Genomic DNA, 18,006 nt, shown 5'->3' with positions numbered 1-18,006 from the left:
AGATACTACATGAAAAATAAAAGGAGGAGAGAGAGAGATCTGTGTGCAAGAAAAGTGGAAAATTTTTAGTTAAATAGAGTTAAACAGGTTTTGTTACCACAGGTGAATTGCCATGTTCCCACCTATAGTAGGTCTCTCCACTTGTTGAGGTCTCTTCCCCTTGACTAATTCAGGACACAGCTGTCCCCCCCGTTTATACACTACCAATTTTCCCATCTTACTGGACTATTCCCCAGGTAGCATCTTATATTTAAAAAAAAAAAAAAGACTTCTTCCAAAAGAAGAAGAAGAAGTCACCTCCCATTTCTTCCCATTGAGAGCTGTCTGAGTTCACTCTCCAATTCTACCCCTCCAAGTCTCCATTCTGTCCACTCTAATTTGGCCGTCATTCTCACCACATCATGGAAGCTACTCTCTATGAAGTCCTGGATGGTGTAAATCCAATGGTCGATTATCTGTCTTTACCTTATTTCACCCATGAGCCACATATGACACACTTGATCACTCCTCTTCCTGGAGTCTTTTGCTCAGCTTGACCTCCAGGATTCCACACTCTGTAGGTTTTCCTCCTGCCTCAATGATACTTTCTCAATCTCCTCTTCTCATTTACCTCTTCATGGGAGGGGCCCCACATTTGGTCTCGGCCCTCTCTATTTTTCTATCTATACTCCTTCCCATGGTAATATCTTAGAGTTCTAAATGCCATCAAAATCGGGGAGACTCCTAAATTAATAGATCCATACATTGTCCCAGCCTCCTGAACAAATCTGCCTACTAGACATGTCCAAAGCTGAGTTTCTATCCTTATCCTCCAAACCTCTACCCACAGTTTTTCTATTATAGTTAGAGATAATTCCAGCAATCCAGTTACTTGGACCAAAATAGGGGAATCTTCCTCGATGTCTCTCTATCACGCCCTCATCAAATCTTTTGGCAATTCTGTTGCCTCTACTTCCTGAATGCAACCAAGAATCAGACCACTTTTTACCAGCTTCTCTGCTACCACACTGGACCAAGCCACCATCATCTCTCACCTGGGTTATTACAACAGCCTTCTAAATGATTTCTCTGTCCCACACATACCCCTACAAGCTCTTTTCCACCCAACAGCGTGAGCAAGACTTTTACAGTATAAGTCAGATGATGACATCACTCCTGCTCGAAACTCTCCAGCAGTCTTTTAATACCACTCCAGTCACCTGCAACCATGCAATCTACAATCAGCTCTTTGACTTCATCTCCCACCCTCTTGCCCTTGTGCACTCTGCTCTGGTGACTCTTCACACATACCCTAGGCCACTCCTACCACAGGGCCTTTGCATGGGGGGTTCCTCTGCCCTAGAACACACTTCCCCTTGTGCTTCTGCATCCCGTCAAGTCTTTGTTAAAATGCTACCTTCCTGATAGGGTCTACCCCATCCACATTAACAATTCCATCTTCCCCTCCTAGTGTCCCTGACCCTGCTCATCCTATTTCCCAGCTCCACGGCACTTCCTGCTTCCTATCATTCAATGCAATTGTCTTCTTAATTGTATTTGTGGCACCTCTGCTTCCCTGGACTGGAAGTCTCACAAGAGCAGGGATTTTTACCTATTTTCTTTACTGATTCACCTATTTTCTTTACTGATTTACTTATTTTCTTTACTTATTCAGTCTAGAGACTGACAAATAGTACATAAAAGTCATTGAATAAATTCATAAATTAATGAATATGTAGCTCATTCAGTAAGCAGGAGGAAACTGCTAAAAAAATTTTAACAAACATTGTCTACAGTACAAACTGTGCTTTAGGATTTTTACTCAAGTGACTGAGTTCTTTCGAGATCTCAGACTGTGTTTCAATCACTGCAGGTACTCTAAGCCCTCAAGAAAGGGAGACTTCGAAACAAGAGATAAAAGATGGATATAGCACAGTGAGAAATCTCAAAGATTTAAATATTTCAGAGAATTAAAATACTTCTTCATCTTTCTCAAAGAAATAAAGCAATACTTCTGAGGAGTTATATTGCTGTATCCCAGTAGTAGAATAAGAGAGGTAATTCCATGAGATCAGAATCATACCTGGGTATTCCACTCATTCCAACGTTTTAGGCTGGAATGTTTCTCATACATCAGAATTTATCTTCAAGGGGTGAAAAAATATGTCTCCATCCATGTCCCTCAATTCCTCCTTTCTAGCTCTCTTGCAATGTCTGTTAGCCATACACTATGATCAGTAGGAATTGAAAACTGATTACTCAGGCCATTTCTGGATTTCCATCAATACATTTGTAGGAGTGTATGCTGTTCTTCCCATCGTGCCTTCTTGGGAAATATCCTATGTCAGAGTGGACAAAGTAAACCCCCAGTCTCCTCCTGTGAACCGGAGCAGAGGGAATTGTCATGTTCCCATCCACGTAAGCACAACCCCGCTCTTTCATGGGTGGAGATCATAGCATACTTTGGAGCTAGAAGGAGATTGTCAGAATGCAATAGATTTCAGGTTTGCCTTTAGAAAATGAGCATAATAAAACTTCGGCTTCTCCCAGTATCTAACACAGATCACTAATTCTCAGAGCTCTCAGGTGTTTGCACTGGGTATGAAGTGTCTGTGCATGACAACTAGCCAACAACAGCACTTTTCTTCGGTTCTGCTCCTGCTGCTATCACCTCCAAGAAACATGCTTTAGGAGCAGAAAATCACAGGTTGAAAATGTTCATAGCCAAAAATATCATCACTTTGAAAAGAAAGAAAAGCTATCATTTTACAAAGAAAGAAGTTAAGAGGCTTACTAACAGTCTGCCTAACAAGGCAGCCCCTGAGTGAAAATGTCGCCTTAGTCTCTTTCTTCCTGACCTTTTGTTCACCGCACCACACTAGGCTATCCCAAGATGAGTTCAATCAGGTGGTCTTCAGCCTTTTATCCTCCCACTGTGGGAAAGTCCTTCCTGTACAACCAGCATTTTCATAAAAAATGTGTGGATGTGCTATTATGTATGCAGCCTATCACTAGACAGGAAGGAGGGGTCAAGACATCAAGTCACCTATCCTCACGTGTGTGTCGCCCAGTCACCTGGAGAGGCAGTCCTGACTTCTGCTTGGTGGTCCATGGCTCTGCCCCAGTCAGGGGTGGGAGGTGCCATGAGTTGTTACTGGCAGTGTTTCGATGAAGGATGAGTACTTGTCCCTGTTCTCATAACTAAGAGAACACGCAAACCGGTCCCTTCAGTAGCCTCATGTTCAGCCACTTACTTCCTAGTGTGCTTTTGAGAGAGGGTAGGAAGGTGGTACCTTCCTGAGGCCCTGCATCAGAGCCAGCATGCAGGGATTGCAAATGAATGACCTACATTATCCAGAGCCAGGCCAGCTGTGGGAGCAGAATGCTTATGAGAACAGTATGCACCATGAGGAAAGTAAGAAATCCAGGCTGAGCCCCACAGCCCACAGCAATACGGCTCACCCCGCTTTGGTGAGCTTTGAAGTCTGTTCATTGTCTGAACCTGCCAAGGTGTCCAAGCTCACCCTCAGGTTCACTGAGCCCCAGTCCGACCATAGTCTCCCGTCCTCTCTGCAAACATCCCCTGCCTGGCCTCCCTGATGGCTGTTTTAATGCCTCCATGATGTCCCCTCCAAGTCCTCTTGTCCAGCTGCTCCAGCCCTTCACTGAGCTTCCCCTCTTCCTATAGATGTCAGCAGCCAAATTACACAATCAAACTCCTAAATGTTCTCATATTACTTCATGGGTACCCAAGCCATGGTCAAGGCCTGTATGGAATCCTTCACCACCCTGTCCAGTATACAGCCTATATCTAAGGATTTGCACTGCAGAGAAAATAACCTCCCTCAGTTTTCCCAAGGTTAGGTAAGTGGAATCTTTTGTTGGACATGCACAGCCCTTGTGAATGTTATTCATCAAATTTATTTTAAGTGTATTTAAAACTATAGATGATGCCTGATGTCAAATTTAAAACTTCACTTGATTGTATTATCTCAACCATTATATTTCTTCTACCTGAAGAGTACAAGCATATAAAAAAAATGAACCTTACGAAATTAAAAAGTGGGGGGTGAACTTTTTTAACAGTGCTTTTTGAAATAACCATAGAAAAACTGAGTTTTCTCTCCTCAGCTAGACAAATGCAAGGCCCTTCTCACTGTCGGTGGCTCCTGCCCCAGGCTACTCACAGGTCGCTGGTATGGCAGGGGTAAGGGGCCGCCTGAGTCTGTGCTGCTGGTTCCAGGGCTTCCTGCCCAGTCTGCACCAAAATGATGGCTCTTTCGATCATGTCTTGCAGTGGGGCAAAGACGTAGTTATATTTGAACCCATCAGCTGGTAGATTCTGAGGGTGGAACTTCCAAGAAGGGTTTTTTACCACATCTGTTCGCACGCTGTATAACACATTGGTCCGGATTGTGTATGAGACATGGGGTGGCAGTTTGACAGACTCTGATCTGAAGTTCTTGTCGAATAAGGAATTGCTGAAAATGATACCTAGTGGCAGAAAAGGAAAAACGAAGCATTACCACACTGTAGGGAGTGGCTCAAACCACGCCTACACTGGGTGAGACAGGAAAAGTTGCAGGAGCCTGAGACTCACAGCCCTCCACTCCTGCAGACTCAGAGCCCCAGCCCGCAGTGGCAAAGCTGACTTTCAGTCACACAGGCAATTGGTGGTAAGCCTAAACCAAGATCTCTTAATTCCCTGTCCAGTGCTGCTTTGTATTTTTCATAAAAGCAAACTGTGGTATAATCAACACAAAGAAATTATTTGTCAGATGTTTTTTGCAGGGTTTTTTTCTCTTGATTGCAGATGTTAACTCAATGTGCAGAATCCATCTCTTTGGGGTTACTTATCATTCATAACTTAAATACATGGATTCTATTTTATGCCACACGGATTCTTTGAATTGTATGCATAAAGCCTATCACAGCTAAATCGTGTCCCTTACTAAATTCATATGTAGAAGTCCTAACCCCCAGTACCTCAGAATGTGACTATATTTGGAGATAACATTTAAAGAGTAATCAAGTTAAAATGAGGGCCATTAGGGTGCGCCCTAACTCAATATGAAGGTGTCTTTATAAAAAGAGGGAAACTTAAACACAGAGAAATACATAGAGGGAAGATGAGGTGCAGAAACCCAGGGAGAAGATGGCCACCTACAAGCCAATGAGAGGGGCCTAGAGAAGATTCTCTCCTCATAGCCCGCAGGAAAAACCAGTGGATGTCTCCATCCGGAATATCTAGCTTCCAGCACTCTAAGACAATAAACTTCTCTTGTTTTAGTCTGCGATACTTTGTTACAGCAACCTTAAGAAACTAATACAAAACCTCAATTAAAAATAATTCAATGTGTATTCCAAAAGAATATGAGAGCACCACCATATTTATCTTGAATGGGTGAACAATTAAATAATGGAGCAGAGTTGGCCATTGCCTGCTCTCCGCCCCAACCAGGATATCAAGATACTCTGATAAAAGGAAAGGTGATGCAGGAAATTAGAGTATAACTTTAATCGGGAATAATATAACTTATGGTGTGAGATTTAACTAGAACATGATGTTATAAAAGGGTAAAAGCAGATGCAGTAAATAGCATTGGTCCTAGGATGGTGAAAACGTTATTAGTCACTATGGCATAAGGTACAACTTTTCATTAACCAAGGCAAATATTTCTGCTTCATTTTATGTTTTATCCAAGGTAAACAGTTCTGCTTTATTTTATGTTTTATCTGGAAAGGACTTCTTTTCTTTCTGAGCTATCATAAGACACCTTTAGGGAGAAACTCCCAAAATGACAACTTACAGGAGTTGGCATCTTGGCGAACATATTTTTTCATTGAGTACTTACTGGCCAAGAAGCTGTTCTGCTGCAAGAGTTCATGTGCTTTAGTCTCCAGGATGTCGACAGACTGCAGAGCCTGGAAACGGTTCAGTGCCACGCAGGAAGAGAGATTGACCAAGATGCTGCCCAAGAAACGGAAGCGTCCAGCGCCTGCATGGTTAAACATCTCATCCAGCAGCCCTCCTGAGGAAAGTGAACAGATTAGGACACATCAACTTCTGTATCCCCCCAGTGCTTACCACTCATATAGTGGAGATTGTGCAAATGGATTTGAAAATGAATATGAATTCTTCCACTAAAAAATTGCTCAAAAGAGTCAAATTTTGGTCATATGTGAAATTTGGCATTTACTTGCTGAGTGTAAACTCTACACTTTTATACACATGCTCTGTAACACTGATACATGTACATGAAAAAAAAACAGTTAAAGCACAAAGGGTAATACAGCAGCCTAAGGAAACACAGTTGGAGACAACAGGATAAACAACAGAAGGAAAGTCTACATGTGATAGGAAAGACCCTCTCACAGAGAGTTCAGGGGAAAAAAAAAGTTCCAACCTGGAGTCAAGCAATTCTAAAAAAAACACGCCTTCCCTGAAGCAGTCATTTTGGGAAAGTCATTTTATTAAATTAATTTTGCAAAAGCAATTATCAAGGAGCATGGACACTGAGGAAACCAAATCCTTGTGTAGTCTTTGTCCTGGATCTGTGCATTCGAAACATAAATAGAGCAGCAGAGTAAAGTCGCAACACCTTGGCTATGAATGCTGACATCAAACATTTTCAGGGCAAAAGGCTGAGGATATCTCAGTATTTTCACTCTGGTTTCAGGAAGGAGCTGGAAAAACCAAATGATCTAGAGCAAGGCAGCGTGGGAATGCCCAGAACATGACCTCCAGAGGGAAAGCAGCAGGAAAGATGTATGGTGACAGACAACAGTCTATCCCTGGCCCTGTGTGCAGTCACTGCTTCCTGCTGGCCCTCCTGTATCTCACTGACCTCCTGAACACTCAACTTTCCAAATGATGTGAGCTGCTCCCTGTGCTCATTTCCACCCTCCATCGAAGCTTGGAGCCTACCTGCCATCCTGTGGGCATTTGTCCCCGGACATGGCAGCATCAGTACCCACTGACAGCTGCCTCTGCCTCTCATGCTTGCTTCCCTCCTCTACTGGTTTCCCTGCTCCCAGATCCTCCTGGCTTCCAAGGTTTCTGGATTAAGTCTGGGTTTTGCTTGCTTGGCACCCAGCCCATGTTTGAAAGGGGTGTTGGGGCTCTGTAAAGGGGGGCCAGCCCTGAATAAGAAACTACATGAAGATGCATCTCCATCATCCTGAGGTCTGTAGAAAAATCAGTTGACATGTCCTGGCCTCAACTTCTTCCCTGGTAAGGAAAGATTAGTTTCCATCTGCCAACTTCAGATGGATGAGAACATGTAAGCTGCCAAACAACATCAAGAAGTGTCGGGCTCCTTCTGCCCTTCATCCCCTCAACCTACATTGCACAGTTTCTCAAAGAAAAGACTGTTATTCATTATGTTGTAACTGCTGTTATTATGTTCCAGTAATTTGCCGATCTCAGGCCAAGACATGAGTGTAAGGATTTGGGAAGGCTGGATTTCTGATAATTAAGCTTTTGCTAAATATCTACAATAATAGTGAAGTGTCACTGTATGAGTGTCAGTCTTGTGCCAGGTACAATTCTGGGCACTTGTGTATTGTCTCACTGAACCCTTATATCTATAGGGAATTGCTAGTGGCATGTTCATTTTAAAGTATAGGAATTAAGGCACAAAGAGTATAAGCAACCAGTAAGTTTCAAAACCATGATTCAAACACATGCCATCTAGCTTTTGGGTCCACCTTCTTACAAATACACCAGGCTGCATTTATATTGAGTGGAACCATATGAAACTTCTGCTTACTGTGTGTTAAAAATATTCAAACATCAGGAATTCCAGACAGCCCTGCCTAACACATAGTAGAAGAATTACATGATCCAGAATTCAAAGAATTGGGTTCTTGATTCCACCAAATATTGTAGGGCTCTGAAAGAGCCAGTCTCTAAGCCTGAGATTTATCATCTATATTTCAGAAAGAATGAAAATCTTGGTACTGTTTTCCAGAGAGAAATAAAAGATATAAAAAAGGCATAAAGCCATTTAGTAAATAAGATCAATTAACTATTGCCATCAGAGCTCACACACACATCTCATAGAAATCCTCCTGTAATTCCCAATTTGGTAGAGCCTGAAGGGCCTGGTTAAGTTAAGACCGTCAAACTGAATTCATAGAAGAATAAAACACGCTCATTGGAAAAATCAGTGAGAAGAAAATAGCTCAAGCCAGAGTTCTCAAATGGCGTCAATAGCAGAAACATGTAATTGCACAGCAGTTTTCATTTCTCATTTAGTTTTATAGTCAACACTTTCTAAGGTTTAAGGCAGAAAAGGACCTTTGGCTGTTTGGATGACACAATCAAAGAGGAGCTAGAAGGATCCACAGCGTCGAGTCTTCTGCCTCAGAGTGTCATGAGTCCCCGGAGTCCCCCAACTGGGACACAGCATCTCAGAGTTCCTTGGAAAAGTTCTGAGCCTCCGAGCCACTGTAAGGCCCACCAGTGAGGCCTTTCCCTCAGCACTGACGTGGAAGGATTAGAGGGTGGCTAGCAGTCTGGTCCAGCCCACCTCACTCAACAAGAGGTCATGTGGCTTGGTTTAAAGAATTTATCTTGGCATGGTGCCCATTTGGCCTGGAGATAGGGACACAGGATCTCCACCGTCTACTGGGCCTTGTGGACTATGGGTCAGATGGAGTTGGGTGCCTGCTCACCACCCCTCAGTGGGCATCTGAGGCTGAATAATCCTCGCCCTCTTTATGGAAGGGAAATGATAATCATCTGCTCAATGGTCTTTTTCCAAAGATGAAGTAGAATAATGTGTAACATGCTTGACACTGTGTCTGGCACATAGAGAGCACTCAATAACTATTTCCTAGTATAACGGTTATTAATACACTATATAAAATTGTTTCCAGTAGAGGAGGAGACAAACTCCACTGCCTTTATCTTGCTTTAAGACTCCAATAACAGTTCAGGTAGCACAGCACAAAGCAATGTCCTGTGTGGCAGGGGACTTTCCAGATTTCCAGCCCCACCTCCACCTAACCAAAATGAAACACTCAGCATCCCAATTTATCTGCTGTGGGAACACAGAGGGCTGGGGCTGGACAGCTGGCCTGGACTGGCTGATGCGGAGCCAGTGCTGACACCAGCAGTTCTTAACATTTCTTGTCTGTTTTCTCTATCTATTTCCTTCTTTAAGATGGCACCAAATCTCTGAACCAGCCCTTGGCTGGTGACTCCAGCATACTGTGCTGACGGTGCCTTGTTGCATTGCACTTCTCAAATTACTCCACCCAGGGAGGAGGGTGGATACAAGGGTGTGCGAGAAGAAGACAGGATCCTGGATGAGCCTTGAGAAGGTGAAAATTCCGTGAAATAACTGATTTTTGTGTGTGAAAATGTTATATTGTACTAGTCTACTCATTTGTTTCAGTATATAAAATTATGTCTCATTTTCCCCAAAATGTTGCTGCAAAAGTGATTCCTTTGGACATTTCATCATGTTTATTCCATGATTTTCCATGGGCCCTGGAACACCACCTAGTACCTGCTAGAAGTATTGAGGTATCAGGTTCTGGAGACAGCAGTGCTGTGAAATGCTACTGTAATGACTGGTACTTATGGGGTATGCAATGGCTGTGATGAAAACTCCCTTGAGGGTTCTTCTGATTTCTAAATAGTGTGGGTATGAGGCTAAACTTGGATATTCTTATGGGCAATTATAGCCATGGGAGGCATCAAAAAGCAAGACCCACTAAATACATGGGCTGGGGTAACCTGGTTTGGGAACATAGAAGTGGCATTGACCCCTGCTGTCACTGCTCCAGGAGTGCAGGTCACTGGTGCTTCAAAGCTGACAAGACATGGCTTTGCTCCCATGGCAATTGCACTATTTATCTTGTTTCACATTAGATAGTTATTTAATCTATAAAAGTTTCACTTTCTTCATCTGTAGCATAAGAAAAGCAAAATTACCCATGAAATTGCTGTGAAAAGTAAATGTAGTTGAAGTTTATATATACACTATAAACTGATTTACAGTAAGTGCTAACTATTATCATGTAACAGCTATAAGGAGAGAGCGAGGCTCCAACTGAATATCTTTAATTAACTTTTCTGCATGAAAGTAAGCATAACAACTAGAAAATAGAAAACCAAAAAGTATATTGTGCATTGTGGGGGGCTTTTTTTTTTAATGGAGAAGTGGAGATTGTTAAATTTCTCGGTGTAGGGCAAACTGGAGACATTTTTCTACTGTATCTGTGTGTTGCTGACCATTTGTTATTTGGAATAGGCTGCACTATAAGCTTGCCTAGCAAGCGTGGTTAAACAATTTAACTGCATAAAACAGCAGATGTTAAACACAGTGAAGAGTGACTTGGTCTCACTATAGTGTGACTTTCATTATCTTCCAGTAGCAGAACTGGAACTGCTTTGGAGAAGGCTTTAAGCTTTCTTATCATGCATATAATTGGGAGACATAGGTACATCTTACAGCCATGCATCACTTAATCATGAGGATGCATTCTGAGAAATGCGGCATAAAAAGGCAGCATTAGGCAATTTCATCGTGTGTGAACATCACAGAGTGGACTTACACAATCCTAGATGGTACAGCCTACTGCACACCTAGCTGTATAGCATAGCCTATTGCTCCTAGGCTACAAACCTGCATAGAATGTTATTGTACTGAATGCTGTAGGCAATTGTAACACGATGGTAAGGATTTGTTTATCTAAACATATCTAAACATAGAAAAGGTATAATAAAAATATGATATGAAAGATTTTATATGGTATTAAATGATACACTTAGATTGAGTACTCACCAATAAAGCTTGCAGGCTGGAAGTTGCTCTGATGAGGCAGTGAGCAGTGAGTGAATGTGAAGGCCTAGGACATTACCGTACACTTTATAAACTTTATACACTTTATAAACACTGTATACTTAAGCTACACTAAATTTATTTTTTAAATTTTTCTTCAAAAATAAATTAACCTTAGATTACTATAACTTTATACTTTATAAACTTTTTAATTTTTTGACTTTTTGACCCTTTTGTAATCATACTTAGCTTAAAATACAAAACACATTGTACAGCTGTACAAAAATATTTTCTTTACATCCTTATTCTATGAGCTAGCTTGTTTTTATTTTTAGGTTTTTTCTTTCTTTTTAAATTTTTTGTTAAAAACTAACTCACAAAACCACACATTAGCCTAGGCCTACACAGGGTCATTATCATCAATATCACTTTTTTCCACCTCCACCTCTTGTCCCACTGGAAGGAGGTCTTCAGGGCACTAACACACGCAGAGCTGTCATCTCCTGTGCTAGCAATGGATTTTTCTGGATACCTCCTGAGGGACCTACTTGAGGCTGCTTTACACTTAACTCATAAATATATATATGAAGTACACTCTGAATTGAATTAAACACATACACCAATAATAACAGTAGTTTATTACGATGATCAAGTATTACGTGCTGTACATAATTGTGTGTGCTAGACTTTTATATGACTGGCAGTGCAGTAGGTTTGTTTACACCAACATCCCCACAAACAAGTGAGTAATGTGTTGTTCTACAATGTGCTGACAGCTACAAAGTCACTAGGCAGTAGGAATTTTCAGCTCATTATGACCTTATAGGAACATCATCATGTATGCAGATCAATGTTGACTAAAATGTTATTATGTGGCATTAACTACAACTTAGAAAAGCAGCTCCACACAAAAACTCTTAGGTCTTAGGACACTGGGCAGATCTCCCTCCTCTGGGAGGAAAGAAGCAATATCTTTGTTGGGTAATAGTTCCTGCACAATGGACTAGATATAATAAAAATAAAATGTGGTCTAGTATTAACTGCATGTTCCATCACTTTGGAGACCTTGAGTACACTCCCCAACCTAAATGATGAGGGCACTGCTATGAGAGAAAGATGGATTACAGAGGACAGGACACGAATGGGCAAAGCCTCTGGTAAGAGTCCTAGAATCACAGCTCTTATTGGGTTGCTTCATCTCACAATATATAGGAAAAATGAGCCAAGAAAAACACATAGGGCCCATGTGAAACCCTATGTGGTAAAGAAACACAGGCTACTTTAAGTCTGAAAGGGCAAAAACAATACTGAGGTTCACATATAGGTGGACATAAAACAACATAGTATAAAATTCTACACTAATGTGGGGCCAAGCCCCAGAGAATAATACAAGTTAACGATTGTTCACCATTCAGTGTATATACCTGAGGACCCCAGACATGGCAGGCATCAGCCAAAACAGACCAGAGGATTTGACATTCCAACGTGTCTCCTCCTGAAATTTGTTTTCAAGAAGTGACTCCATCTTATTGCTCTAAATGAGAGTTTCTCAACCTAGGCCCTACAGACACTTTGGGCACATAATTCCTTGCTGTGGAGGGCTGTTCCATGCAGTGTAGGATGTTTAGCAGTACCCCTAGCCTCTACCTGTTAGGTGGCAGTAGCTGTGACCAGCTGTGACAACCAAAAATATCTCCAGACATAACCACACATCCCTTAGAGGACAAAATCATCCTCAGTTGAGAACTACTGATATGAACTGAGTCACAATAACTTCTACTCACCAAATCACTTTCAGTCTGGTTTTAATGCTTCACACATAATATCACCAAACATTTAAGTGAACCCTTCAACATGAAAGAGAGAACTCAAAATAAACAAATAGAAAACAGTAATAGTAATTTTAAAATAAACTAAAGTTAAAATAGCATTATTTTTATAGAGAGGTAAAAATATCAAAGAAATGATGACAAGAAAACTCCCCTTAATTGAAGAGCTGTCGTCTTCAGATTGAAAGGTCATATTGAGGAAACCCCACTTAGAGTAATGGAGGACAATGTGGGGCAGATGAAGTTTCCTTCCAAGAACAACCAGAAAATATGAATGGCCTTTAAAAAATCTATATAAAGACTTTAGTTTAAAAGTTTAAAAAAGTCTACACATTGGGTACAGTGTATACTGCTCAGGTGATGGCTGCGCTAAAATCTCAGAAAGCACCACTAAAGAACTTATCCATATAACCAACCACCACCTGCTCCCCAAAACCCTATTGAAATTAAAAAAAAAAGAAAATCTATATAAAGACTTTAAAGAGCTACCAAGGCAGCAAAAGCTCAAAGGTCAGAGATGCAAGAGAAAAGAGAACCTTGGGAAGCCTGGTATTTGATCCTGCCAAAAACTGAGAGGCTGAGTCTCCAGTGGTCCACGGGACTTTGAGCTCTGGATCTACATGGGCCCTAATCGGTATCAGCTTTATAGGTGAGATCCCCACCCCACCCAAATAGGGAATCTATCCAGGAGTACAGGAAACTGGAAATTTCCCTACTAAGGCTGAAGTCTACCTCCATCAATCCACTCCATCCCCAAATGGATTAGGAAAACGTGGCCCTGCCCTAGCTCTCTGCCACAAGCAGGAAAATAACATTATCTAGAGGAATATAGCACTATCAGGAGACTCAAATTTATTTCTACAATTTTCCATTTATAATGTCTGGTTTCAATTTTTTTAATCCTTAATATTCCTGGAGACAAGACAAGAAAAATAACCAAAAAAAAAAGCAAGAGAAAAATAGACTAAAAAAATACCCACAAAAGACAAGTATTAAAGCTCACAAACATGCACTTCCAAAATGTGAGTATTGTGTCCAAAATTAGATGAAAATAGACTTATGTGAGTATTGTGTCCAAAATTAGATGAAAATAGACTTTCACCAGAGAGCTAAAAACTATTTTAAAATAAGAAAATTTAAATTTTAAGCGGAAAATGCAACAACTGAAATGAAGAACTTCATTGGTATGTTTAATAGCAGATTAGACCCAGCTGAAGAGAGAATTTGTCGATTAAAAAACTAGTAAGAAAAGAAATCACAAACTGAAGTATAAAGAGAAAATAGGTTGGATTATATAGAAAAGGAAATAAGAAGCATTGAACACTGTGAAAAGTTTTCATCTTGTTTAGAAGAGTTGCAGAGGAAAGCAGAGAGAGAAGTGATCAGAAGCAATGCTTCAAAAGATAGTAGCCAAGACTTTCCCCAAATATAAGATATTTGGCCACTGATTCAAGAAATGCTACAGAGCCAAAAGAGGATTCTCATAAGAAACCATAACTAAGTCAGTCACAGAAAAACTTCCGGAAAGAAATAAAGAAGTAAAAGAAGGGGGAGAGGCTGGAAGATAATTTAAATACAAACAAAGGAAAATATAAATGTCTCAAACAAGTCCTCAACAGAAAATACAATACAGCCTTAAAGTATATAAAGCCTAAGTGGACAGAACCTCAAGGAGAAATAGGCAATCCCACAGTCATAACGAGAAATGTAAACACACACCTCTTAAGAGCTGATGGAACAAGGAGACAGTGAGGATGCTCAAGACGGCACCCAACAATGCAGGAACCAAAACTGACCCTGTGTGCAAGGATTGAGTGAGTCTCCATAAATGTTAAGCAAATGAAATCGTATTAGCGAAGTACATTATCTTACCACTGTGAAGTAAAGCTGGAAGTCATTAACCCAAAGATAAATAAATAATACCAAATATTTAGAAATTAAGCTATAGTCTTTCAAATAACCTAAAGGTGAAAAAAAAAGGAAATTACACCACATGTTTAAAATATGCTTAACTGAATGAGAGTGAAAATACAAGATATCAAAATTAGTGAGATGCAGTTAAGGTAATGCCAGAGGGAAGTGTCTAGTGATGAGTATATATATATGAATATATATATATGAGTATATATATATGAGTATATATATATCAGAAAGATATATATATATATATCAGAAAGATATATATATATATATCAGAAAGATATATATATATATATCAGAAAGATATATATATATATCAGAAAAGAAAAGAAGACAAGGTGGACATGAATAATTTAAGTATTCATCTCAAGAAGTTACCAAACACACACACATACACACACACAGGGCAAAAGGAAAAAACCAATAGAGAGCAGAAATCAATGAAATCAAATGAAATATAAGGCCATAAACGGTGGGTTTTTTTAAGACTAATAAAAATTGATAACCCTCTGACAAGACTGATTAAAAGCAAAAAGGAGAGAGAAAGAAGAGATGCAAAATTATTGGTAATGAAATAGAGGATATTTCCACATATCATTCAGATGTAATTTTACTTTACTGAGTAAAATCACTCAGGAATTTTTTCTCTCATTCTCTTTTTCAAGACTACACTGATTAATATGAACCCACAAAACATGACAACAAAACAAAAATGAGGACCTAGAGCCCAGGAATCATGGTATCCACCCCAGGAGAGCAGAGCAGAGAATTCCTAGGAAAGCAGCTGGGTGCTGGCAGGAGCGGCTAGCCTGCCCAGGTGGAGCATGGTAGGGGGTCTGGGTGGCGTCTGCACAGACAAAATGACTCAACATAAAGGTGATGTGTTGGCACACAGAGCTGGGAGCAATGGAGAACAGGTGTTTCATGTAGTAGCAAGAGAGCATGAAACTCTAGGAAAAGGGAAACATGGTAAATAAGGGAATGTCATTATAATGCATAGCCTGACTCTGCACTGAACAACATTTATCTCCTCATACTGTTTTATAACTACTAAAATGGTCATATTACCATAGTGGGAGCAACTGATCAGGGAAATGATGTAGTACAAAACTAAATCTGCATCTTTCAGAACAAGAAATCAATTGATAATTCCTGTAACAAATAAATCAAGAAATACTGCCGTAGGTGTATCAGTTAGAAATATAAGGACCGATCCCAAAGAAATTCCTAAGTAATTTTAAATTCATACTATGGAGTGAAATGGAAGGCAGAGCTAGATGAAGGGACTTTTTCTTAGTAACAGTCAATATTTATAGATATGAAAAACTTTTATAATAATCTTAATTTTTGAATAGGAAAACTTATTCAAAAGTAGTGTTGGCTAAGCAGCAATGTGTTGAACAAACGTGGCTCAGGTACGATTCACACTCTAAGACATCTGCATTAACACTAGCACCATGGTAGATGCAAACTCAGGAGACTCAGGTAACAAAATTATGTGAACAGTATAATCATTTTTGTGAAAATACATATTCTTATCTTCATATGAGTACATATAAATTCACCTAAAAAAGAACTCCGAGGCTTTTAAAATAGCTATCTGTGGTGATAAGATTATAGGTGGATTTGTTTTCTGGCTTATTTGTATTTTCTAATGTTTCTACAACAGACATATATACTTTTTGTAATAAAGCAAAAAGTTATTTTTTAAAGTTATATAATGAGGCCAGGCGCAGTGGCTCACGCCTGTAATCCCAGCACTTTGGGAGGCCGAGGCAGGAGGATCACCTGAGGTCAGGAGTTCGAGCCAACCTGGCCAACTTGGTGAAACCCCATCTCTACTAAAAATACAAAAATTAGCCGGGCATGGCGGTGCGCACCTGTAGTTCCAGCCACTCAGGAGGGTGGGACAGGAGAATTGCTTGAACCCAGAAGTCGCAGGTTGCAGTGAGCTGAGATTGCACCATTGCACTACAGCCTGGATGACAAGAGCAAAACTCTTGTCTAAAAAAAATAAAAATAAAATGAAAGTTATATAATGAATAAAAATGACAGCATGATTGGGCAAATATTCCCAAAAGTTGCATCAGTATATCTTCAAATAGTCACCTCAGTTTCCAGGTACTGTTTATAGGATGAAGAAAAGTGAGTATGACCTAGGTATAAATTTTAAAAGGGTGCATGCAGTAAGGTGAGTTCATTTGTTAGCATAGTTACAAAAGGAGATTTGCATCTGGTCAGTGATCAATCCCCCACCGCCACCCCACCCGTGAATGCCTGACCCCACTCTGTGCCTGCTCCCAGAGGGCTGTACAGGGTCGGATGGAAAATAACCAACATTCACCTGGATGATATGGTCTTCAATCTCTAGCGTCAGGCGGAAGCAGAAAGAAGAGAGGATCACACCTCATGGATCTCAAAATTCCATGTGAATCTCATATTCTGTGTCCCAACACACTTGTAGGAAAAGTTCTAAATTTCTGGGGAACTTTCTCTTAATTTTACAATAGAAGTTTACATGTGGGAAAACCTATTCAAATGTACTGTTGGCTAAGCAGCAACATGTTGAACAAATGTGGCTCAGGTACGATTCACACTCTAAGACATCTGCATTAACACTAGCACCATGGTAGACGCAAACTCAGGAGACATCTGCGTTCCACACAGGAAATCTCTCAGACCCATGTCAGTCCTTGGTTCCAGCAACAGAAGATGGGGACACTATTATTATAAACTTTCCAGTGCTACTTCTTCTTTTAAAGGTGTTTTAATTAATTGAAAAAATTATGTAATGCATTTAAAATATGAAACATTTTAAAATATGATTAACCTTTCTGAAGTAAAATATTAAGTATTGCATTCACCAGAAATTTTTTTAAAGGGAAGTACTATATTATGCCGAATAAAATGTCTTGCCTTCCTCTAACTTTCATATGTAAGGCAGATCCGAAACCCTTTCCCATGTACAAGCAGAGTGTGAGGGAGCCAGGGACCTGGAACAGCCTGACACCCATCCTCCCTCTGACTCCAGGTCCCCACCAACTGGGTTAGGCTCCTGAGAGCTTCTCTGGCAGGGCCCTGATCGCTGATTTTGCCACAGTGTTGCAGTTTCTAAGCATGGTCATCTTCTTCTCTGCACTGCATGGTGGAACAGGAATATTTTATGCCCCTCTATGGATTATTTCATGGAACTGGCTCTCCTCGTGTGTCCAGCAAATGTTTGTTAAAACACCTAAATGAATTCACAGATACATCAATTGCAGAGGTACAATAAATGTTTACTGATAGGTAATGTTTTTATCTGAGCTTCCCATTTTCAAATCTATGCAATGGCTTTCAAGTTACTTTTAACTCAATAATAATAATAATTTCTTTTATAAACTTGTTTTGTAATTCACAATTCTTGTGTTTGAATCAGAAAACTTCCTTTTTAACTAGGTTCTTTACTAGTTAAGTCCTGAATCAGTGAATCGAAAAAACTT

At 40.2% G+C, this 18,006-nt stretch overlaps 1 protein-coding gene across 27 annotated transcripts in view; it reads right to left on the bottom strand.

Moving 5' to 3' along the window:
- Positions 1-18,006, bottom strand: part of ABCA13 (ATP binding cassette subfamily A member 13) — a 476,040-nt gene that overhangs the window by 290,844 nt on the left and 167,190 nt on the right. For 26 of the 27 annotated variants that reach the window (XR_926914.3, XR_926915.3, XR_926919.3 and 23 more), the window contains 2 exons: positions 5,835-6,011; positions 4,167-4,473 (listed from right to left, as the gene is read on the bottom strand). Coding sequence is in view for 24 of the 27 variants with exons in the window: in XM_011515130.3 (XP_011513432.1) it covers positions 4,167-4,473; positions 5,835-6,011 (484 nt within the window). In the remaining 3 variants the exon portion in view is untranslated. Of the gene's footprint in view, positions 1-4,166; positions 4,474-5,834; positions 6,012-16,595; positions 17,757-18,006 lie in introns of those variants that run through there. The other variant, XM_011515147.3, reaches the window with a different exon arrangement.

Source organism: Homo sapiens, chromosome 7 (assembly GCF_000001405.40).
Source record: "Homo sapiens chromosome 7, GRCh38.p14 Primary Assembly".
In the NCBI taxonomy this organism is placed as follows: Eukaryota; Metazoa; Chordata; class Mammalia; order Primates; family Hominidae; genus Homo; species Homo sapiens.
Note: the sequence above shows the minus strand (reverse complement) of the source record. Positions and strands in the feature narration are given on the sequence as shown.